The sequence below is a fragment of the Homo sapiens genome, chromosome 3 (genome assembly GCF_000001405.40).
Source record: "Homo sapiens chromosome 3, GRCh38.p14 Primary Assembly".
Classification (NCBI taxonomy): domain Eukaryota; kingdom Metazoa; phylum Chordata; class Mammalia; order Primates; family Hominidae; genus Homo; species Homo sapiens.
Window position 1 is genome coordinate 131,947,003 of NC_000003.12, and position 25,442 is coordinate 131,972,444.

General features: G+C 39.9%; 1 protein-coding gene across 7 annotated transcripts in view; it reads right to left on the reverse strand.

The window, feature by feature from the left end:
• The window catches only part of CPNE4 (copine 4), a 506,038-nt gene that overhangs the window by 413,434 nt on the left and 67,162 nt on the right, over positions 1-25,442 (reverse strand). For 2 of the 7 annotated variants that reach the window (XM_047447422.1, XM_017005694.3), the window contains exon 2: positions 16,642-16,708. The exons of the other annotated variants lie outside the window; for them this stretch is intronic. In XM_047447422.1, coding sequence (XP_047303378.1) covers positions 16,642-16,706 — 65 coding nt within the window. In that variant the 5' untranslated portion in view covers positions 16,707-16,708. The remainder of the gene's footprint in view (positions 1-16,641; positions 16,709-25,442) is intronic. 7 annotated transcript variants of the gene reach the window in all.

Below are 25,442 nucleotides of genomic sequence, written 5' to 3' on the forward strand. Positions count from 1 at the left end.
AATTGGTCATAGAAAGATGGGTTTACTACTGAACTCTCAGTTCTATCCTACTGGTCTATTTATCTACCCTTGCAACAATTTCACACTGTTGTGATTATTGTAGCTCTATCATAAATTTTGAAATCAAGAAGTTATTCCTCCTTTTCTCAGGTTGTTTTGGCTATTTGGGGGCACTGCAATTCCATATGAATTTGAGGATCAGTTTTGTTTTGTTTTGTTTTCCCCTTTTTTTATTTTTTAAGTTCTGGGAAACATGTGCAGAACATGCAGTTTTGTTACATAGGTATACATGTGCCATGGTGGTTTGCTGCACCTATCAACCCATCATTTAGGTTTTAAACCCCACATGTATTACGTATTTGTCCTAATGCTCTTTCTCCCCTTTCCTCCCACCCCCCAATAGGCCCCAGTGTGTGATGTTTCCATCCCTGTGTCCATGTGTTCTCATCGTTCAACTCTCACTTATGAGTGAGAACATGCAGTGTTTGGTTTTCTGTTTCTGTGTTAGTTTGCTGAGAATGATGGTTTCCAGCTTCATCCATGTCCCTGCAAAGGACATGAACTCATTATTTTTTATGGCTGCATAGTATTCCTTGGTATATATGTGCCACATTTTATTTATCCAGTCTATCATTGATGGGCATTTGGATTGATTCCAAGTCTTTGCTATTGTAAACGGTGCTGCAATAAACATACGTGTGCATGTATCTTTATAGTAAAATGATTTATAATCCTTTGGGTATATATCCAGTAATGGGATTGCTGGGTCAAATGGTATTTCTGGTTCTAGGTCCTTGAGGAATTGCCACGCTCTCTTCCACAATGGTTGAACTAATTTACACCCCCATCAACAGTGTAAAAGTGTTCTTATTTATCCATATCCTCACCAGCATGATCAGTTTTCTTATGTCTGTGAAAAAGGTCATTGAAATCTTTTATAGAATTGCATTGAATCCATAGATTACTTTGAATAGTACTAAAGTTTTCACAATATTAAGTCTTTCACTCTGTGAACATGGGGTGTCTTTCTATTTTTTAGGTCTTCTTTAATTTCTTTCAGCAATGTTTTATTGTTTTCAATGTACAAGACTTTTACTTCTTTGGGTAGATTTATTCTTAGTTTTTTTATTCTTTTGGATGTTTATATGATTTGGCTCTGTGTCCCCACCCAGATCAGACCTTGAATTTTAATCCCCATAGTCCCCACATGTCAAGGTCAGGACCACGTGGAGGTAATTGGATCACGGGGGCAGTTTCCCCCATGTTGTTCTTGTGATAGTGAGTTCTCAGGAGATCTGATGGTTTTATAAGGGTCTAACATTTCCCCTTCTTGCACTCACTCTGTCCTGCCATCCTGTGAAGAAGGTGTCTGCTTCCCCTTTGCCTTCAGCCAAGATTGTAAGTTTCCTGAGGCTTCCCCAGCAATGCGGAACTGTGAGTCAATTAAAACTCATTCCTTTATAAACTACCCAGTCTCAGGTATTTCTTCATAGCAGTGTGAAAACGGACTAATACAGATGTTATTGTAAGTGAAATTGTTCCTTAATTTCTTTTTTGGATTGCTCATTGTTAATGTAAGAAACACAACTATACACTAGCTGTGTGTGATTTTAGTGTGTTTGTCTTTTCCTAATCTTATGGGGAAAGCCTTCAATCTTTCTCCACTGCGTATAGTTTTAGCTATCAGTTTTTCGGAAATGTTTTCTATCATGTTGAGAAGGTCACTTTTTTGGAAAAGCATTAAAAACAGTTCCTGTAGCAGCTCAATAAGTGTTTATTAAATTGAAAACAACAAGTGGTTCCCCCAATCTGCTGATATGCTTTAGTACAGAGAGACTTAATATAAAATTCCATGCAGGAAAAAAACACACAAAAATAAATAGGCCATTCTAAAGACACTGATTATGACTCTGGGAACCAGTATCATTATGTGAAGAAAAGAGAACAGGTTTTGCTGTCAGATTAACTGGGTTGGAATGCCAGCTCTGCTATGGTTCAGGTTGCATGACGTTGAGACATTCACAAAACTTCTTTAAATTTTTTTCTTATCTGTAGAGATAATATAAACCTTGCAGGGTATTGTCATGATTATATGTAAAGGACTGAGCCTTGAATCTAGAGCACAATCATTGCTAAATAAATGGTAGTACCCTTTGCTAAGCCCATCTCTATGATTTGCAGGGCCTAAAACAAAAGAACATAAAGAAGCCCACTTACCAAATACTTAGTTATTTGAAAATTATAAATCAAGATAAATAAGGTACTCCCTTCACCCACTCAGTTTCTTCATTAGCTGAATTTTTAAAACATTCATTGAGCATCAATTCATATCAGATATGATGTTCCACTTAGATTAAAATGTCAATCATGGGCATCCAGAGAAGAATGGAGGAAAGCAGACAATATCTAAAACACTGTTTCCAAGATTCCAATTAAAATACTCAGTGAAACACGAAAAGATATGCAAAGTTTTAGGAGTACCAAAATGCAGAAGTATTTATCAATAGCTAAGATAATATTTAAAGATGAAACATGAAGGCATTCATTTAGTAAACATTTATTCACCACCTACTATTTGCTAGATTCTGAGTCAAGAATAAAATAAGAACATCTGCTACTACTATTTAATAAATTCAATAAGTTCTACCTTATGAAATAAGAAGAGAAGATCAAATTATTATTTATACCTTTGCAAGGAAGCATTCCCTGACCATCCTATTAAAATTTCAAAGCATACTACCCCACAGGACTCACTTATTATCTCCATTCTCTGCCTAATTTTCCTCCATAATGTTTAGTGCCTTTTAAAATATTGTATATTTTACATAGTTATTTTCTTTATTATATGTCCCTCCATTAAAATGCTAGCACTGAGGGTACTCCCTTGGATGAATATAACACAATGTATTCATCCATTCCCTTCATGAAGGACATTAGGATTGTTATCTATGTTGTCACCATTACAAATAATGAATACTTTTATACATATCTTCTGGAGCATGTGTGAGAGTTTCTTATGATATATATAATAAATTCTTGTTATTTGCAGTAGTTATGTTGTATAAGGTCACTTTGAACACTGAATAAGCTAATATTGAACCATTATTGTTGGGGGGAAATAAAGGGTTAGGCCCCTAAAAACTTCTGGTCACAATATTTTTGTCAATCAATCAATAAAAACCTTGTTTTATGTGTGCTTCTTTTAAAAGTCAACTAATTTCATATATATTGTTGATGCATTAACAGTGAACTCACAGCCACTTAACTGTAACTCATGCTTGCATGAAGCTTAGCTGGCACATCTATTTTCTCAGTAACCCACATCACAGCCTTCTTGCATTTCAGATCACTGGATAACACTTCAGCACTACTCTTAGGGGCCACTTTTAATAGTAAAACCACCAAATAAAAGCACAGACCTTTGAAAATTATGGCACTAAGTCAAACACAGATAGGAAGCTTGTTTAAAGTATGAAAAATGGGAGAAGAAGGCAGAGTTTTGCCTTGTTCAACCTCAGCTGGGAACATGCATGTCAAGTTACTCAAATTTTTCACAGCTCTGCGTATGTCTACAGGTGGCTGCAAAAGCACCATGAATATTAATTTGAGGGTTACAGATAAGTTTTCGAAAGCAGGCAAATTCACAAATACAGAATCTGTGAATAACGAGGACCGACTATACTTACAAGTAGTATTCCTGGATATTAAAATATAGCCATCATCAATTTTGCTAGATGTTAGCAAATTGTTATTCAAAACGTGTGTACCTATTTCACTTCTACCCTAAGTTTCACTAGATCCAAGAGTCCCCACATTCATTCCAACTTTTGGTATTACTATTTTTAACATCCATGAATCCGAGGCACATAAAATGTCAACTTGTGGTTATTTGTTTACATTTGGATTTATTAGATTACTAAAGAGACTGAGCATCTCATAGAGGTTTTTCTTCCTTTGTTCCTGTTGATGCTTTTTGTTCATTTCCTGTTGTTTGTTGACTGGTTTGTCTTGGCTATCCTTGGTCAACTACTTCTACATATAAATTTAGGAGTAAGTTTCCTCAGTTTTATGAAAAATTCTATTAGATAATTTATTGGAATTATACCAATATTACAGGATAATTTGTGAAGAATTAACATCATTAAAAGAATTACTATCTTCTATGTGTTTAAGAGATGTTTTGTGATTTTCTTTGCAAGAATATTGTACATTTGGAAGTTAAATTTATTTCTAGTTATTATAAAGATTGTGTTATTATAATTTATGTGCTTATCCATTTCATTTTCTAATTGATTACTGTTGACATAGGGTTCACTATTGATTTTTTATGTCAATGTTTTATCTTGAAATCCTCTGAACTCCTTTGTTATTTTTAATAATGTTTGTGGGTTCTGTTGGGGTTTTTTCTCATATAGATGTGGCAGAAACTACTATTTACAGTCCAGAGCCTAATTGCCACATTTTTCTTTTGCCTAGAGATACTCCCCCTCCCCTTAGAATTCCTTCTTCAGCCCTCTCCCTCTCCTTCACCCTCTCCCCACAGTCTCCCTCTCCCTCTCTTTCCACGGTCTCCCTCTCCCTCTCTTTCCATGGTCTCCCTCTGATGCCGAGCAGAAGCTGGACTGTACTGCTGCCATCTCGGCTCACTGCAACCTCCCTGCCTGATTCTCCTGCCTCAGCCTGCCGAGTGCCTGCGACTGCAAGCGCGTGCCGCCACGCCTGACTGGTTTTCGTATTTTTTTGGTGGAGATGGGGTTTCGCTGTGTTGGCCGGGCTGGTCTCCAGCTCCTAACCGCGAGTGATCCGCCAGCCTCGGCCTCCCGAGGTGCCGGGATTGCAGACGGAGTCTCGTTCACTCAGTGGTCAATGGTGCCCAGGCTGGAGTGCAGTGGTGTGATCTCGGCTCGCTACAACCTCCACCTCCCAGCCACCTGCCTTGGCCTCCCAAAGTGCCAAGATTGCAGCCTCTGCCCAGCCGCCACCCCGTCTGGGAAGTGAGGAGCGTCTCTGCCTGGCCGCCCATCGTCTGGGATGTGAGGAGCCCCTCTGCCTGGCTGCCCAGTCTGGAAAGTGAGGAGCGTCTCTGCCCGGCCGCCATCCCATCTAGGAAGTGAGGAGTGCCTCTTCCCGGCCGCCATCACATCTAGGAAGTGAGGAGCATCTCTGCCCGGCCGCCCATCGTCTGAGATGTGGGGAGCGCCTCTGCCCCGCCGCCCCGTCTGGGATGTGAGGAGCGCCTCTGCCCGGCCGCGAACCCGTATGGGAGGTGAAGAGCGTCTCTGCCCGGCTGCCCCATCTGAGAAGTGAGGAGACCCTCTGCCTGGCAACCACCCCGTCTGAGAAGTGAGGAGCCCCTCCGCCCGGCAGCCGCCCCGTCTGAGAAGTGAGGAGCCTCTCCGCCCGGCAGCCACCCCATCTGGGAAGTGAGGAGCGTCTCCGCCCAGCAGCCACCCCGTCCGGGAGGGAGGTGGGGGGGTCAGCGCCCCGCCAGGCCAGCCGCCCCATCCGGGAGGGAGGTGGGGGCGTCAGCCTCCCGCCCGGCCAGCCACCCCATCCGGGAGGGAGGTGGGGGGGTCAGCACCCCGCCCGGCCAGCCGCCCCGTCCGGAGGGAGGTGGGGGGGTCAGCCCCCCTCCCGGCCAGCCGCCCCGTCTGGGAGGTGAGGGGCGCCTCTGCCCGGCCGCCCCTACTGGGAAGTGAGGAGCCCCTCTGCCCGGCCACCACCCCGTCTGGGAGGTGTACCCAACAGCTCATTGAGAACGGGCCAGGATGACCATGGCGGTTTTGTGGAATAGAAAGGGGGGAAAGGTGGGGAAAAGATTGAGAAATCGGATGGTTGCCCTGTCTGTGTAGAAAGAATTAGACATGGGAGACTTTTCATTTTGTTCTGTACTAAGAAAAATTATTCTGCCTTGGGATCCTGTTGATCTGTGACCTTACCCCCAACCCTGTGCTCTCTGAAACATGTGCTGTGTCCACTCAGGGTTAAATGGATTAAGGGCGGTGCAAGATGTGCTTTGTTAAACAGATGCTTGAAGGCAGCATGCTCGTTAAGAGTCATCACCACTCCCTGATCTCAAGTACCCAGGGACACAAACACTGCAGAGGGCCGCAGGGTCCTCTGCCTAGGAAAACCAGAGACCTTTGCTCACTTGTTAATCTGCTGACCTTCCCTCCACTATTGTCATATGACCCTGCCAAATCCCCCTCTGTGAGAAACACCCAAGAATGATCAATTAAAAAAAAAAAAAAAAAAAAAAAAAAAGAATGGTGAAAGTAGGCATCCTTGTCTTTTTCCAGTTCTTATAGGAAAGGCTTTCAGTTTTTCCCCATTTAATATTTTAGCTGCGGATTTGTCATATATGATCTTGATTATGCGGAAGTATATTTCTTCTATGCCTAATTTTTTCAGAGTTTTTATCATAAAAGGATATTGAATTATGTCAAATGCTTTTCTGGATATGTTAAAATGATTATATGGTTTTTGTCCTTCATTATGTTGATAGGATATATCATATATATTAACTTGCATATGTTAAACCATCCTTGCATCCCTGGGGTAAATTTCACTTGATTATGGTGGCGTATTATCTTTTGCAGAAACATGGATAGAAGTGAAGTTCATTATGTTAAGTGAAATAAGCCAAGCACAGAATGACAAATATCACATGTTCTCATTCATACGTGGGGACTGAAAAGTTTACCACATGGAGTTAGAGAGTAGAATGATGCTTATCAAAAGGTGGGAAGGATGAATGGGGGTGAAGAGAGGTTGGTTAATGAGTACAAACATACAGTTAGAAGTAATAAGTTCTTACGTTTGATAGAAAAGTAGAATGACTATAATTAACAATCATTTCTCATATATTTCAAAATATCTAAAAGATTTGAAATATGTTTCCTAACACAAAGAAAGGAAAACATTTTTGAGGTGATTGATATCCTAAACATCCTGATTCAATCATTATACATTGTACATATGTATCAAAATATCACATACACCCCATAAATATGTACAATTATTATGTATAAATAAGAAAGACAGCAGCTAACAAAAAACTAGAAATGTAAAAGAGATAATAAGTAGCAGAGGATTTGTAGAAAAGGAGAGACACAGCACACAGGAAAATATAGCTAAAAAATTACCCAATATACAGGTAAAAATATTTTCTAAAATATGTTAGAAAAATAAAGATACATAGAGAATGGAAGGAAAAATATGACATTGTATACTTTGAGTTCTAGAAAAAAAGAGAAGGAATAATACATGAAATCTTTTTATAAATTACAGAACATATGAATGCTCAAGTTGAGAGAGATCACCGGATTCCATTTAGAATTAAACCACATACACACATAAATACACATATGCACACAAACACCCAAAGTAAGGGTATTGCAAAAACTAATAAATATAAATTTATCTTAAATTCAGCCAGAGAGGAAAAAACAGATTCCCTATAATAAAACAATAATTTTACTGGTAGAAGAACTCTTTTTTTATTATTATTATACTTTAAGTTCTAGGGTACATGTGCACAACGTGCAGGTATATTACATATGTATAGATGTGCCATGTTGGTGTGGTGCACCCATTAACTTGTCATTTACATTGGGTATATCTCCTAATGCTATCCCTCCCACCTTCCCCCATCCCATGACAGGCCCAGTGTGTGATGTTCCCCATCCTGTGTCCAAATGTTCTCATTGTTTAATTCCCACCTATGGGTGAGAACATGCGGTGTTTGGTTTTCTGTCCTTGTGATAGTTTGCTCAGAATGACGGTTTCCAGCTTCGTCCATGTCCCTACAGAGGACATGAACTCATCATTTTTTATGGCTGCATAGTGTTCCATGGTGTATATATGCCACATTTTCTTAATCCAGTCTATCATTGATGGACATTTGGGTTGGTTCCAAGTCTTTGCTATTGTGAACAGTGCCGCAATAAACATACGTATGCATGTGAAAAAAAAAAAAAAAGAATTCCTTCTTCACAGATACGCACACCAATTTCAGCTGAGCACATAACCACCAGCTAGAAATCGCATGTTCCATCTTCCCTGTAACCATATGGTTAAGTTCTGTGTTTTTTTTTTCTTTTTCTTCTGTTGTTTTGTTTTACTTTTAGTGGGAAGGGCTAGGATTTTCAGTACAAGGTAGATTAGTAGCAGTGGAGATGTGCATCCTTGTCTCATACCCAAATTAACAGTACCATTTCTAAATGCTTACTAATATAAAATTTGTCATAGCTTTTGGATTCCCTCCTTCACTGCTATGTATTTCATCATATTATGTAATTTCCCTTTCTTTCTTAGTTGGTTAAGAGGTTTTCTTTTTATTTATTTTTTCTCACAAAAAAGTGTTAAGTTGCACGCAATGCTTTTTCTGTGTGGTATTGTATGTAAGGTTTTTTTTTTTTTTTTTTTTTTTTGTATGCTTTCTACATTCCCTCAGCTGCCTCCTTCTCTCTTGGTTGGTAGTCTGACCTGCTGAATCTCCCCTCCACTTCTGGTCTTAGATGAAATGCCACAAAACAGGGCTTGGGAAATGGCTTCTTGAGTAGCTACCAAGTTGCCAAATGTATAGAAGCATTAGATCTCTGTGGAATAAAATTTGACCAATGGGAAGCAAGAGTCAGGAGGGAACCAGACAGATACATTTCCACTCCTGTCCCTCCGCAGTGCCGTTTCCTCTTACAAACCTTTTAGAAAAGTTCCCATAAGCAGAGGGAATATGCTTAAATGTCTTTGCAACTGAATGTCTCTGAACTTGTACGGAAGTGGTGGCCAGCACAGCAACACAATCGCTGTACATCTTTTCTTGCCTCACATCACCTATTTTCCTCAATCACTGCTTGGATTTATACCCCTCGAAGTGTCAACATTATAATCTGTGCATCAGGCTCTGCTTTCCAGCAGATGCAGCCTAGGATACTCAGGCTAAAATCCATTATACCTAGTAGGACAATGTTAATGTTTGCTCCTTTAATCTCTTAGATATTAATATGGTGACAGATAGATAGATAGATATTGATACACAAATCCATCTTTCACTTCTTCATTCCTGAAATAAATTCTTCTCGTATTTTTTAAAACACTAGATTTTTTATATGTTAGCATTTTATTTAGGAATTATTCATTTATGGTCTTAAATAAGATCAGTCATTAGAATTATTTTACTGTCAGTATCCGGTTTCAGTGTCAAAGTAATACTTATCTATAAATTAGAGTTGATGCCTTTTTTTTCTTTTTGTGTTCTCTGAAATACATATAATTACCAGTTCATTGAGGCTTGATGAAACTTGCATTCAAATTTTATTGGCTTGATGTATTTCTTATATTTGAGATATGTGGGATTCATAAGGGCATATTTGTGACTACCAAGTCAATTTCTTTAAAGGATGTTGGTTTACTGAGGTTTTCTATAACTCCATCGTCAATAAAATCTTAAGTATTAGAATAATTTACATTAAAAATGTAGCTTGAAATTTATGAAACAGAAGAGCATACTCATTACTTGTAATCCAGTAAAATTCTACTTTTGTGTAGTTTTTAAGCTGAAATTATCATAAATGTATAGAAAAATGTATATGTATGAATTAAAGTTCAATACAGCATTTATTATAATGCAAATAATTTGAAAAACTATATAAATATCCAAAAATAATTGAGATTGATATATAAAGTGTGTCCTATCCATCCCATTGGTTTCCTCATAGCCAATGAAAGTTGTAGCCTTGAATCTTGGAGAACATATAAAGATTATGAGAAAATACTTTGTGTTGGCAAGTGAGACATAGCAGTATATTCTATTACTTAATTTTGTTTTAGAATGGAGAGAGAAAGAGAATTAAAGACTTGTAGAATTTATCCCCAAGTTTTAGCCTTGTTATATTCTTCATTAAATTTGTATACATTTTATCATAACTTGCTGACATTTTTGTCATCAGGAACAAAACATGTTATAAAATATCTTTTTAAATTGCCATTGTTTTCTACATGTGTTATAGCCACACTAATTCAGGATGAGGTGTTAGATCATCTTGCATGTGAGGCAACCTCTCCCAATTCAATGCCGTGTCCTACTTAGGATGAATTGGGATGCAAAATAACCCCACACTGGGACTCAGTGAGAAACTGCTGACGTCTATTCTGTTATCATAGCACATCCCACTGGAGACCCACTCTTGTCAGAATACATCTAGGGCATCCTCCAAACTGCAAAAATAACAGTCCTTACCAAAGGATAATAATGTCTCCATGCCCATCAGCCTGATCCTGGAACAAAAATAATAGCTTCTTGAATTGAGCCAAGGGGATTTTGAAAAAGAAAATTTCCAGAGTGTACACTAGCATGGTTTGTGTTCCATTCAGCACCAGGTACCCAGTAAGGAGATGCTTGTTATAAAGAGAGCTAAAGAGGAACATGCACAGAGCCTTTTGCTATCAGCATTGTTATCAAACTGTTGGATAAGAAACCATTTGACCAGGGGAGTGTACAGAGGGTAACTGAAAAGATATAGAATTAAAATTTCTGAATTCTAATGCGAGCCTTTCACTGAGGAAAACAAATTCCACAATGGCAAAACAATCCACACTGGGTGGCAAAGCTCTTCTGACCTCATGCCTTCCAGTTCCCTCACTTAGCCATTCACTCACCAAGTATTCGTTCAGATCCTGCTAACTGTGGGAGGCATTTTTGCTCCAAAGAAGGGCAAAGATTTGTTGCACACAGCCTCTGTATTCAAGGAGCTTATTCTCAAAGAGAATTTCTCAAGTCAAACAATTCTACTGCATTTTCTGTGCCAGAAAGTGAACGAGACGCAGAATAGCTGGAGATAATTAAAGTTGAGGCAAAACCGCAAAGCCAGAGGTTTGGAAGTTTTATTCTTTTCAAGCAGATGTGAAAACTTCTAAACACTGAATTTTTGGTTGGGGGGAGAAGGATGTAAGCTAGAGACAGTAATTGTGGAAGAAGGAGTTAAAGAATACCTGAGAGTTTGATAGAAAACAACCTGTGTGGGACAGGCAAATAATGGGACATTGAAATAGAATATATGTCTCAAAGCATGAGAAAGACTAGCTAAGTCCTGGCAGTGTAATGTAATAAGAAACATGACAATAGGTAACTTTACAGAGTTACTTCTACATTCCAGACATTCCATTAGGCATTTGAAATGCTTTATCTCATCTAATCCTCACTGCAACTCTGTGAAGCAGGTATAGATGAGCAATAAATAGCTCAGAGATAAAGCGACTTTTCCCAGTTCTTGCCCTTAGTGGAGCCAGTGTTTGAATCCAGGCAGCCTGATTCTAACAATTTCATTTTTGTACATCACACCAATGGTCTCAGTGTGGTCCTTAAACCAGCTGCAGCAGCATCACTTTTCCCAGGTGCCCATCCCAGACCTGCTGATTTGGAAACTGTGACTATGGAGCCCAGGAAGCTGTTTCAGCAAGCTCCCTAGGCGATTCTGATGCAGTTGATGTTTGAGAAACACTGCACTATCTCAGACTCTTTTAAATCAGAGACCTGGAGTCAAATTCAAACTCTACTACATCTCAGCTATGTGACCTTTGGCAATTGATACACCTTTCTTTCTTTTCTTTTTTTTTTTTTTTTTTTTTTTTTTTTTTTTTGAGACAGAGTCTTGCACTGTTGCCCAGGCTGGAGCACAATGGCACGATCTTGGCTCACTGCAACCTCCACCTGTCAGGCGATCTTGGCTCACGGCAACCTCCACCTCTCAGGTTCAAGCAATTCCCCTGCCTCAGCCTCTTGAGTAACTGGGATTATGGGTGCCCGCCACCACGCCCAGCTAATTTTTTGTATTTTTAGTAGAGATGGGGTTTCACCATGTTGGCCAGTCCGGTCTCGAACTCCCGACCTCGTGATTCGCCCGACTTGGCCTCCCAAAGTGCTACAATCACAAACGTGAGCCACGGCTCCCGGCCTGATACACCTTTCTTTTTTTTTTTTTTTTTTTTTTTTTTTTTTTTTTTTTTTTTTTTTTTTGAGACGGAGTCTCGCTCTGTCGCCCAGGCTGGAGTGCAGTGGCGGGATCTCGGCTCACTGCAAGCTCCGCCTCCCGGGTTCACGCCATTCTCCTGTCTCAGCCTCCCAAGTAGCTGGGACTACAGGCGCCCGCCACTACGCCCGGCTAATTTTTTGTATTTTTAGTAGAGACGGGGTTTCACCGTTTTAGCCAGGATGGTCTCGATCTCCTGACCTCGTGATCCGCCCGCCTCGGCCTCCCAAAGTGCTGGGATTACAGGCGTGAGCCACCGCGCCCGGCCGATACACCTTTCTAAGTTTCAATTATCCTATATATAATATAGAGTTAATAATAAGGACCCCTGCATTCCCCAATCCTGGAAGGTTTTATGATGAATAAAATGAGATAAATACAAGTAAAGTGTGTAGAGTACAGTTCAAACACTGTACTTTCAGAAAAGATTATCACTCACCCAGGCCAATATGCCTGAGTTGGACAGAATGCTACAGATAGCACCAAAGTTGAGACACCAATTTCCTTAACATTCTTATCCAGGGACCACTGAGGAACTCTGTCGAAAACACCATCACATTGTGGAAATTGGAAAATCAAAAAATCCAATTAAAAAATATATATTTATCTTCCACTCAGTCTAGCTTACTTGTGTAATTGCCCGTAACACTGAAACACAATCATGCCTCTCTGGAAAATAAGGGGACGTTGTACCAACTCTCAGTTGCAATTTAGGGTGATCTGTTTTGCTCCCCTTACTCGCCCCACTCCCTGAGCTGCCCACTCACACAAAGCCACCTAAATTAAAACATAATATAATGCCCTGAATTACAGTGATACTAAGCTATGAATATGAATGCCTGAAAGAACCTTGTTTCTTTTTAATGACTAGCCCTATTATTTTAAATATCATCTGAATACTAAAACGCTACTGCAAATTTAAGTAATATGTCATACTTCTAGGTGTTTCTAAATATTCAGATCATTAAAATGATGGAAATAGCCTTGAAAATAATTGTGAGCCCTACAATACACTGTATGAGGCATATGGACATGAGCGAGACAGAGTGAGATAAGCGAGAGAGGGAGAGAGGAAAGCAGAGAAAGAGTGGAGAGGGAGGGAGGAGAGGGAGGGAGATATTCAGGCTGACTGGCATAAAAGGGATTTATAATCATATTACTTCAGAAACCGTTACTGCTTGAAAAATGCTGGTAATATCTTCTGACAATGTTTATTTTTATGATATGTTTGATTTACTTTTCAATCCACAGTTAATTTCAAACAGTTTGAAAGATGTCTCATTACCATAACTTACATCAGAAGAAAAAAGAATATAGGCTATTACAGCTAACCAAAACTTTAGAGATAGATGGTAAAACTGTCCCTATAAACTTTATAAAGTTAATCAGAGAAGAAGGGAGAGGGAGAACTGAAAGCAAGCTTGCAACGCATTCAGCATTAGTCATGAGGTCAGCTTGCTCTCTGACCTGCTTCCCCATAGTTGTTTGCCTATTGTCCAATAATCATATAGAGCCTGTTACAAGATTATAGTTCCCCTTAACTGTTCTATAGATAAGAACTTGAACATTATAAAATGTTAAGCTTTTCCCTTTGAGATATTCCCTCAGGTCCTGCATGCTGATGAAACTACTGACTTAGCTGGTCTGAAGAACCTCACTGATGCCAGCTGGTCTGAAGGACTCCCCAAAGAGCTGGATTCTCAGTTAATGCAGTTTCCACATCCTGATTATTTCATCCCACTTACCCTGACCAATGAAAAACCCCAATTTTTCAGCCCTTTACCCTCCATAATCCCCTTAAAACCCCAGTCCAGAACTCCTCAAGGAGATAGATTTGAGGGTCTTCTCCCATTTTCTCACTTGGTGATCTGCAATCATTAAACTTTTTCTCCACTGTAAACCCTGCTGTCTCAGTGTAATTGGTCTGTTACTATGCAGCAGGCATACAAGCTTGGTCCTATAACAATGGTACAAACTCAGAGAGATGTCACAAGAAAAAGAGGTATAGAAATGTTCAAAGGTTTCTCTAAGACCACAGAGGTAATTAGGGGCAGAACCAAGACTAAAATCCTGATCACCTGGTTCTTCATCCAGGGCATTTTTCTCCACGTGAACATACTTTTGTAGAGAAAGTTAAAAAGAAGAAGAAACAGAAAACAATTTTATTTAGAGTAACTCCCTCATAGAATGAGTTTTTTTCCTTAAGAAATCATTTCCTTAAATGTTTCCTTAAGTGCTGTATTAGAATTTAAATCTTATATCCTAAGGGATTGAGTTTCAGTAGCACCTCTATGACCCTAGGCAGGTAAGGAATCACCCTGAGCCTGTTTTATCACTGGTTAAAGAGCAGTAACTCTGGTTCCCTCCCAGTGTTGCTGTGCTAACACCTGGAGCTCATCAAAAGCAATGTTCAACAAATAAGCATCATCATAAATCCCAGGGATAGGAATTGAGCCACACACAGGGTGACTGTGCTAAGATACAGCATTTTCTGTGACCCGAATGGTCAGTCAGGATGTATGGTTGAAAAGAAACAGCCACTGAAATATTCATCCAATATATTACCCCCTTACAAACAAGCATGTTCTGTTTCTCTGAAAGTACTCTCCTATCCCTGCTCTGTTGTCTATTCCTGACTCTTAAGATCCACACCTAGAGGACTAAAGATAGAACATACAGGATTGAAGGGGGCTCATGGTCCCACATTACAATCCTCAAAAAATGACCTTAAAGACAGACTAGCAGGTGAAAGGGTAGAGACAACATAGGTGACATCACCAAGAGTCACACATACCAAATATCAAAAAACAATTTTCTGTTTATCTCTCTCCCTTCTCCCTTTTCCCTACTCAGATCCAGATCTGCTACTGCATACATATCACCAAGTCATACCCATTCTACTTCCAAACGTTTCTCAACGTTATCTCTATCCCATCTGGCCATATCTAGATCATCTCATTTAATGGTCATTCATGCATTCACCTAGCCAACATTTTTGAGTGCCTAAAAAAGTACTAGATTGTTTGAAATGCTCAGAATTCCATGCATATTCAATTGCCCAGACCTTTGCTGTTCCCCTTTGAGTAGACTCCCCTTCTAACCTGACAAACTCCTATTTGCTCCTCGAGGCCCTGCCTTTTTCTATGATCCCATAGCAAGTTGTCCATGCTTCCATTACAGCTAATATCTATTTCCTCGATGCCTAACAAGTGCCTACTATTCAGCAGGTGCTAAGTCAAGGGTAGATGAAGAGATGTCTTTTCTTTTGCCTTGGAATTGGTTATGTTTCAGGAACCAGTCTAACCACCCGATCTGACAGTTATAATCAGACCATTACTTTATTTTCACTCAGTATTTGAACTTCTCTCAAGGCCCAGTTCACATGCAATGCACCACCACCACAACAAAAATGTGCTCAGACACTCCAGAACAAAACAAAGACCATCCTTCTGAGTCACAGCCATACACAAAGAGCATAGACTGGACTCCTTACAGGATTAGAGAAGACTAGAACTATATCTTGAATGTTCCTTCCTCCCCTTTCCATTCATTCAACAACATTTATTGAGCACTTAATATGTGGCAAGTACTGTTATAAGAACTTAAACATTTATAATTGAATATTTATCTAAACCATGAAATCCTAAACAAATAGATGGACTTCCAGTGGAGAAATGCATCTGTGGAACCCCAGAAACAGTTAAAAAAAAAATCCAGTGAGTAAATACGTTTTCCTGAGAGAGAAAATGGCTTTCAGCAGATTCTTAAAAAGTCCCTGATTCAAAAAAAAAATGTTGTTCTATATTGCCCTACACCCTGCTTAGAATAATAAATATTTATACCTGAACAAGTTCCAACATTTTGTTATTTGCTATATAAAAAGAATCCTCTCTCATTAAAAGTAATGGCAAAGCTTTTGGACTCCTGGCAAGATGGTCAAATAGGAACAGTTCCGGTCTGCAGCTCCCAGTGAGACCAATGCAGAAGGCAGGTGATATCCGCATTTCCAACAGAGGTACCCGGTTCATCTGATTGGGACTGGTTAGACAGTGGGTGCAGCCCATGTAGGGCAAGCAGAAGCAGGGTAGGGCGTTGCCTCACCCGGGAAGTGCAAGGAGCTGGGGGAGCCCCCCTCCCTCAGCCAAAGGGAAGCCATGAGGGACTGTCCTATCTGTCCCAGATACTATGCTTCCCCCATGGTTTTTACAACCCACAGACCAGGGGATTCCCTCACTTGCCTACACCACCAGGGCCCTGGGTTTCAAGCACAAAACTAGGCAGCTGTTTGGGCAGACACTGAGCTAGCTGCAGTTTTTTTTTTTCATACCCCAGTGGCACCTGCAACCCCAGCGAGACAGAACCGTTCACTCCCTTGGAAAGGGAGCTGAAGCCAGGGAGCCAAGTGGTCTCACTCAGTGGGTCCCAGTCCCACAGATCCCAGAAAACTGAGAACCACTGGCTTGAAATTCTCACTGCCAGCAAAGCAGTCTGAAGTCGACCTGGGATGCTTGAGCTTGGTAGGGGGAGGGGCATCCACCATTACTGAGGCTTGAGTAGGTGGTTTTCCACTCACAGTGTTAAGCAAGCTGCCGGGAAGTTCGGCAAAACTCACCGCAGGGCAGCGAAGCGGCTGTGGCCAGGCTGCCTCTCTAGATTCCTCTTCACTGGGCAGGGCATCTCTGAAAGAAAGGCAGCAGCTCCAGTCACGGGCTTATAGATAAAACTCCCATCTCCCTGGGACAGAGCAGCTGGGGGAAGGAGCAGCTGTTGGCACTACGGCAGACTTAAATATTCCTGCCTGCTGGCTCTGAAGAGAGCAGAGAATCTCACAGCAAAGCTCTGCTAAGGGACAGACTGCCTCCTTAAGTGGGTCCCTGACACCCGTGCCTCCTTACTAGGAGATATCTCCTAGCAGGGGTTGACAGGCACCTCATACAGAAGAGCTCTGGCTGGCATCTGGTGGGTGCCCCTCTAGGACAAAGCTTCCAGGGAAGGAGCAGGCAGCAATCTTTGCTGCTCTGCAGCCTCCACTGGTGATACCCAGGCAAACAGGGTCTGGAGTGGGCCTCCAGCAAACTTCAGCAGACCTGCAGCAGAGGGGCCTGTTAGAAGAAAAACTAACAAACAGAAAGCAATAATATCAACATCAACAAAAAGGACACCCACTCAAAAACCCCATCCAAAGGCCATCAGCATCAAAGATCAAAGGTAGATAAATCCACAAAGATGAGGAAAAACTGGTCCAAAAATGCTGAAAATTCCAAAAACCAGAATGCCTTATCTCCTCCAAATGATCGCAACTCCTCTCCAGCAAGGGCACAAAACTGGATGGAGAATAAGTTTGACAAATTGACAGAAGTAGGCTTCAGAAGGCAGGTAATAACAAACTCCTCTGAGCTAAAGGAGCATATTCTAACCCAATCCAAGGAAGCTAAGAACCTTGATAAAAGGTTACAGGAACTGCTAACTAGAATAACCAGTTTAGAGAAGAACATAAATGACCTGATGGAGCTGAAAAACACAGCATGAGAACTTTGTGAAGCATACACGAGCATCAATAGCTGAATCAATCAAGCAGAAGAAAGGATATCAGAGATTGAAGATCAACTCAATGGCATAAAGGGTAAAGACAAGATTAGGGAAAAAAGAATGAAAAGGAACAAGAAAAGCCTCCAAGAAATATGGGACTATGTGAAAAAACCAAACCTACAATTGATTGGTGTATCTGAAAGTGATGAGGAGAATGGAACCAAGTCGGAAAATATACTTCAGGATATTGTCTAGGAGAACATCCCCAACCTAGCAAGACAGGCCAACATTCAAATTCAGGAAATACAAAGAACCTCACTAAGATACTCCTTGAGAAGAGCAACCCCAAGGCACATAATCATCAGATTCTCCAAGGTTGAAATGAAGGAAAAAATGTTAAGGGCAGCCAGAGAGAAAGGTAAGGTTACCTATAAAGGGAAGCCCATCAGACTAACAGTGGATCTCTCTGCAGAAACCCTACAAGCTGGAAGAGAGTGGGGGCCAATATTCAACATTCTTAAAGAAAAGAATTTTCAACCCAGAATTTCATATCTAGCCAAACTAAGCTTCATACACAAAGGAGAAATAAAATCCTTTACAGACAAGGAAATGCTGAAGGATTTTGTCACCACCAGGCCTGCCTTACAAGAGCTCCTGAAGGAAGCACTAAATATGGAAAAGAAAAAACAGTACCAGCCACTGCAAAAGCATTCCAAAATATAAAGACCAACAACACTATGAAGAAACTGCATCAACTAATGTGCAAAATAACCAGCTAGTATCATGATGACAAGATCAAATTCACACATAACAATATTAACCTTAAATGTAAATGGGCTAAATGCCCCAATTAAAAGACACAGAGTGGAAAATTGGATAAAGAATCAAGACCCACTGGTGTGCTGTATTCAGGAGACCCATCTCACATGCAAAGACACACATAGGCTCAAAATAAAAGGATGGAGGAATATTTACTAAGCAAATGGAAAACAAAAAACATCAGGATTTGCAATGCTAGTCTCTGATAAAACAGACTTTAAACCAACAAAGATCAAAAAAGACAAAGAAGGGCATTACATAATGGTAAAGGGATCAATGCAACAAGAAGAGCTAACTATCCTAAATATATATGCACCCAATACAGGGGCACCCAGATTCATAAAGCAAGTTCTTAGAGATCTATAAAGAGACTTAGACTCCCACAAAATAGTAGTGGGAGACTTTAACACCCCACTGTCACTATTAGACAGATAAATGAGACAGAAAATTAACAAGGATATTCGGGATTTGAACTCAGCTCTGGACCAAGCAGACCTAATAGACATCTACAGAACTCTCCACTCCAAATCAACAGAATATACATTCTCAGCACCACATCACACTTATTCTAAAATTGACCACATAATTCGAAGTAAAACACTCCTCAGCAAATGCAAAATAATGGAAATCATAACAAACAGTCTCTCAGACCACAGTGCAAACAAATTAGAACTCAGGATTAAGAAACTCACTCAAAACCACACAACTACATGGAAACTGAACAACCTACTCCTGAATGACTACTGAGTAAATAACAAAATTAAGGCAGAAATAAATAAGTTATTTGAAACCAGTGAGAACAAAGATACAATGTACCAGAATCTCTGGGGCACAGCTAAAGCAGTGTTTAGAGGAAAATTTATAGCACTAAATGCCCACATCAGAAAGTAGGAGAGATCTAAAGTCAACACCCTAACATCATAATTAAAAGAACTAGAGAAGCAAGAGCAAACAAATTCAAAAGCTAGCAGAAGACAAGAAATAACCAAGACAGAGCAGAACTGAAGGAGATAGAGACACAAAAATCCCTTCAAAAAATCAATGAATCCAGGAGCTGGTTTTTTGAAAAGATTAACAAAATAGGTAGACCACTAGCCAGACTAATAAAGAAGAAAAGAGAAAAGAATCAAATAGACACAATAAAAAATGATAAAGGGGATATCACCACTGATCCCACAGAAATACAAACTATCATCAGAGAATACTATAAACAACTCTACACAGATAAACTAGAAAATCTAGAAGAAACAGATAAATTCCTGGACACATACACCATCCCAAGACTAAACCAGGAAGAAGTCGAATCCCAGAATAGACCAATAATGAGTTCTGAAATTGAGGCAGTAATTAATAGACTACCAAACAAACAAACAAAAAAAGCCCAAGACCAGACAGATTCACAGCTGGACTCTACCAGAGGTTCAAAGCAGAGCTGGTACCTTTCCTTCTGAAGCTATTCCAAACAATAGAGAAAGGACACCTCCCTAACTCATTTTATGAGGCCAGCATCATCCTGATACCAAAATCTGGCAGAGACACAACAAAGAAAATTTCAGGCCAATATCCCTGATGAACAACAATGCAAAAATCCTCAATAAAATGCTAGCAAGCTGAATCCAGCAGCACATCAAAAAGCTTATCCACCACGATCAAGTCAGCTTCATCCCTGGGATGCAAGGCTGGTTCAACATACACAAATCAATAAACATAATCCATCACATAAATAGAACCAATGACAAAAACCACATGATTATCTCAATAGATGCAGAAAAGGCCTTCAATAAAATTCAACACACTTTCATGCTAAAAACACTCAATAAACTAGGTATTGATGGAACATATCTAAAAATAATAAGAGCTATTTATGACAAGCCCACAGCCAATATCATACTGAATGGGCAAAAACTGGAAGCATTCCCTTGAAAACTGGCACAAGACAAGGATGCCCTCTCTCACCACTCCTTTTCAACATAGTGTTGGAAGTTCTGGCCAGGGCAATCAGGCAAGAGAAAGAAATAAAGGGTATTTAAATAGGAAGAAAGGAAGTCAAATTGTTGCTGTTTGCAGATGACATGATTGTGTATTTAGAAAACCCCATCATCTCAGCTCCAAAACTCCTAAAGGTGATAAGCAACTTCAGCAAAGTCTCAGGATACAAAATCAGTGAGCAAAAATCACAAGCATTCCTATACACCAATAATAGACAAACACAGAGACAAATCATGAGTGAACTCCCATTCACAATTGCTACAAATAAAATAAAATACCTAGGAATACAATTTACAAGAGGCTCCTTGAAGGAACCACTGCTCAAGGAAATAAGAGAAGACACAAACAAATAGAAAAAATATTCCATGCTCATAGACCGGAAAAATCAATATCGTGAAAATGGCCATATTGCCCAAAGTAATTTATAGATTCAATGCTGTTTCCATCAAGCTACCTTGACTTTCTTCACATAAGTAGAAAAAAACTACTTTAAAATTTCATGTGGAACCAAAAAAGAGCTTGTATAGCCAAGACAATCCAAAGCAAAAAGAACAAAGCTGGAGGCATCATGCTACCTCACTTCAAACTACACTACAAGCATACAGTAACCAAAACAGCATGGTAATGGTACCAAAACACATATATAGACCAACGGAACAGAACAGCGGCCTCAGAAATAACACCACACATCTACAACCATCTGATCTTTGACAAACCTGACAAAAACAAGCAATGGGCAAATGATTCCCTATTTAATAAATGGTATTGGGAAAACTGGCTAGTGATATTCAGAAAACTGAAACTGGACCCCTTCCTTACACCTTATACAAAAATTAACTCATAATGGATTAATGACTTAAATATAAAACCTAAAACCATAAAAACCCTAGAAGATATCCTAGGCACTACCATTCAAGACATAGGCATGGGCAAAGACTTCATGACTAAAACACCAAAAGCAATTACAACAAAGGCCAAAATTGACAAATGGGATCTAACTAAACTAAAGAGCTTCTGCACAGCAAAAGAAACTGTCATCACAGTGAACATGCAACCTACAGAATGGGAGAAAATGTTTGCAATCTCTCCATCTGACAAAGGTCTAATATCCAGAATCTATGAGGAACTTAAACAAATTTACAAGAAAGAAACAATCCCATCGAAAGTGGGCAAAGGATATGAACAGACACTTCTTTAAAAGAAGACATTTATGCGACCAACAAACATTTGAAAAAAAGCTCATCATCACTGGTCATTAGAGCAATGCAAATCAAAACCACAATGACATACCATCTCATGCCAGTTAGAATGGCAATCATTAAAAAGTCAGGAAACAACAGCTGCTGGAGAGGATGTGGAGAAATAGGAACACTTTTTTACACTGTTGGTGGGAGTGTAAATTAGTTCAACCATTGTGGAAGACAGTGTGGCAATTCCTCCAGGATCTAGAACCAGAAATAGCATTTCACCCAGCAATCCAATTACTGGGTATATACCCAAAGGATTATAAATCATTCCACTATAAAGAACATGCACACATATGTTTATTGCAGCACTATTCACAATAGCAAATACTTGGAGCCAACCCAAATGCCCATCGATGATAGACTGGATAAAGAAAATGTGGCACATATACACCATGGAATACTATGATGCCATAAAAAAGTATGAGTTCATATCCTTTGCAGGGACATGGATGAAGCTTGAAACCACAATTCTCAGCAAACTAACACAGGAACAGGAAACCAAACACTGCATGTTCTCACTCATAAGTGGGAGTTGAACAATGAGAACACATGGACACAGGAAGGGGAACATCACACACCAGGGCCTGTCAGGGAGTTGGGGGCAAGGGGAGGGAGAGCATTAGGGCAAATACCTAATGCATGCGGGTCTTAAAACCTAGCTGACGGGTTGATGGGTGCAGCAAACCACCATGGCACATGTATACCTATGTAACAAACCTGCATGTTCTGCACATGTATCCCAGAACTTAAAATATTAAAAAAAAAAGTAATGGCAAAAACTACAATTACTTTTGCACCAATCTAATAAAACACCTTGTTCAAGCTTAAGAGATGCATATGTATTAATCTGTAAGTAGGCTCTTTAAGTATATGTAAGCCTTTTGTAAAGGATATTTGTCTCTTAATTTTTAGCATATAATAAACTCTCAAGGACACTTGAGGCTGTTTTCTGATTTTTTTTCTTTCTTCTCACTGACTAAGAACAGTGCTCTCAACACAGTGGAGACTCGGTAACTTACCAACCATCTTGGTGCACTTCAGAGCACAGGTCTAAGGGGCAGCAGGGTGCTTTATAGATTAAAGTGACTCCAAAATACAAATAAAATTATTAAATTCTCTTCACTGTCCTCTCTAGTTCCTAAATGACATGTATATGCTTGGTGAGCATCATGTCAAATAAAACAAAACAAAACAAAAGCATGCACTTTGAAATCAGACCTAAGGACCTCAGTTCCAGGCTCTCCTCCTCAATTACCAGCTGTGTAACCACAGACAAGGTGCTTGACCTCTGTAGGCCTGTCTTCTACCTATATAATGGATTTTGTCAGAATTGAATGAGACATGCCTAGCAAAGTGTCTGCTCCATAACAGATGCTTGTGTTCATAATTGGTGCTGTTTACGAAGGATTTCCAGCTCTGTCCTCTTCCAGTCAAACTTCCCTGCCCTCTGAAATTTGGGTATAGAGCCATATGACTTGCTTTGGCCAGTGAAATGGAAATACGAGTCATCTGTTTCACTTTGAGAATCAGTATATGAGCTGCCATTTCCCTTTTCTAATGCTCTAGAGATAGTGGAATCACATGTTGAGATGAAGCTTCACTTATCTGTGTCTCTGCATAACTTCAGTGAGTGAAGACACACCAACCCCCACACAGATACCAACCTAACTTTGACCTGTAGCCAAAGCAAGACATGAGCTTTTCTTGTACAAGTCACTGAGATTTGGAGCTTATTTGTTACAGTGATATAATCCAGTGTATGCTGACCAATACAGTGCTTAATAAATATTAGCTCTTTTTCCCCATTAAGTCTCATTAGCTGCACATTTCCCTCTTGCATTTTTTTCTTAGAAATTGGTCTAATCCCAAAGTTTGTTCTGACATGAATGAGTTTGTTTCCTTGATGGGGCATTTGGGCAAGAAGCATATAATTTATATAGTTTTTTTAAATTAAACTTTTATTTAAAGGCAATTTAAGGGGATGGGGTTTATAATCTTTCCTTATGCTGCACTTTCTAGGTCCTCTAGAGCTACTGCTTTTTATCACTTTTTCCACTTCCATATATCAAAATACCTCCAGAGTTAAACAGCTTCACATTAGATTTCATGATCTAGCTAGATCACTTATCATAGAAATGGAAGGTTAAAGTTGTATTGTGAATATATGTATGTGTAGGGGTTAGTGGAGGATTGTTGTTACTTCCCATTATTAATGTAGATATAGAATGAACGGATCATCAATCTGAGAGGGTAGCAGCATTTCCCAATTATCTGTTGCTGCCTAACAAACTGCCCCAAAACGTAGTGGGTTAAAACAAAAACCATTTAATTTTATCTCATAATTTTTGTAGGCCAGGAATTTGAGAAGGATCAATTCTCAGATCACTAGATCATCTGCTAGATGATTCTTCTGTTCCATATGGCATAGATGAGGTCACTCAGCGGTGTTCATCTGGCAGCTAGAAAGATCTAAAGAGTCCAAGATGGTTACAGTCACATGTCTGACGCCGTGGGGACAACATCTAGAAGGCAGAGCTCAGCTGGGTCTGTTAACTGGAGTGCTGACACGGTAGTTTCAGGGTAGTTAGATTTCTTACAGGGTGGGTCAAAGGTTAAAGTTCCCAGAGAGAATGTTCTAACACATAATATGCAAGACTTCTTATGACCTAGACTTGTAAGTCCTAGAACATCACTTCTACTGAATTTCACCAGTCAAAGAAGACCAGTAAAAGGCATCCAGCTCTCACAGAAGGAACGGTAATTCCATGTCTCAATGAGAGTACCAGCAAACATTTGGAACTATCTTTTTTATACCATAGAACCACAATCTCTTCAACGCTTCTCTGATTCCCTAAGATATCATTAGGTCCAAAAACTCCAGTCACTACGTTAACATTTAACAAGCAAAAAGTAATTCCTTTACAAGTTTAAATGCCTTCCTTTTTGCCCCAGAGGGTTATCTGAACTCATTTACAAAACTTTACTGTGCTCAATATTTTTCTTGGCCCTTCAGTTGCACTCTCTACCTTTGCTATATTCCCTGGAAGTCTGGTCTCTAAGGGTACCTTGCCCTTAGGTTTCCATCTGGGGGCAGTCAATGGGGGACACTGGCAGGGAAGCAAAGACCAACAGGAGAGTGAGCAAGACCATTGCCCTTCAGCTTCCAAGTCACTGTAGTTGATCCCATTCCTGTAGCTGAGCTAAGGCCACAGCCCCAGGCAGGCATGCCCCTCTAGAATGACAGCTATTTTCTCTAGTCCCAACAATTTCCCTCTCCCCTTGTTCCTTCAGACTTACATATGATTTGCCTTTGTTTCTCTTGCATTTAGCTCAGTGTCTGGCACTTGGTAGGTGTTTAATGAATGTTTACAGAAAGAACTGTTGGATGAGTGGGTAAATGAGAGAATGGCAAAGGACATACATTTAAGAGAAGAAAATGTTCATGGCAACTGAGTGTCAGGATTAGGATTATAAAACTTCTTATCTTCTATCCTTTAGAGAGAGAGGGAAAAAAAAAGAAAAATCAACAAAAAGAAATACCTATCTTCTCAGAAGACAGTAAATGCTGTTCTTTCAGAGACGCTGAAGCCAATGAAAATACTAAGGGTTACACATCAACACTCCCTTGGCGCACAAAGGTCTCACTGGCAGCAACAAGTACATACTTCTGTATGACTGAAAGTCTATAGTTCTCTGCCCGATGAATTCCTCAAGTTCAGCTAGCCAACTTGGAGCCTCATCATAGCACTTACAAGCAGAGTTTCTTTGTATGAGGTAAAGTGCAGAGAGCTAGAACAAATGCCAATCCCCAGTGATCTTTTGTCCCCTT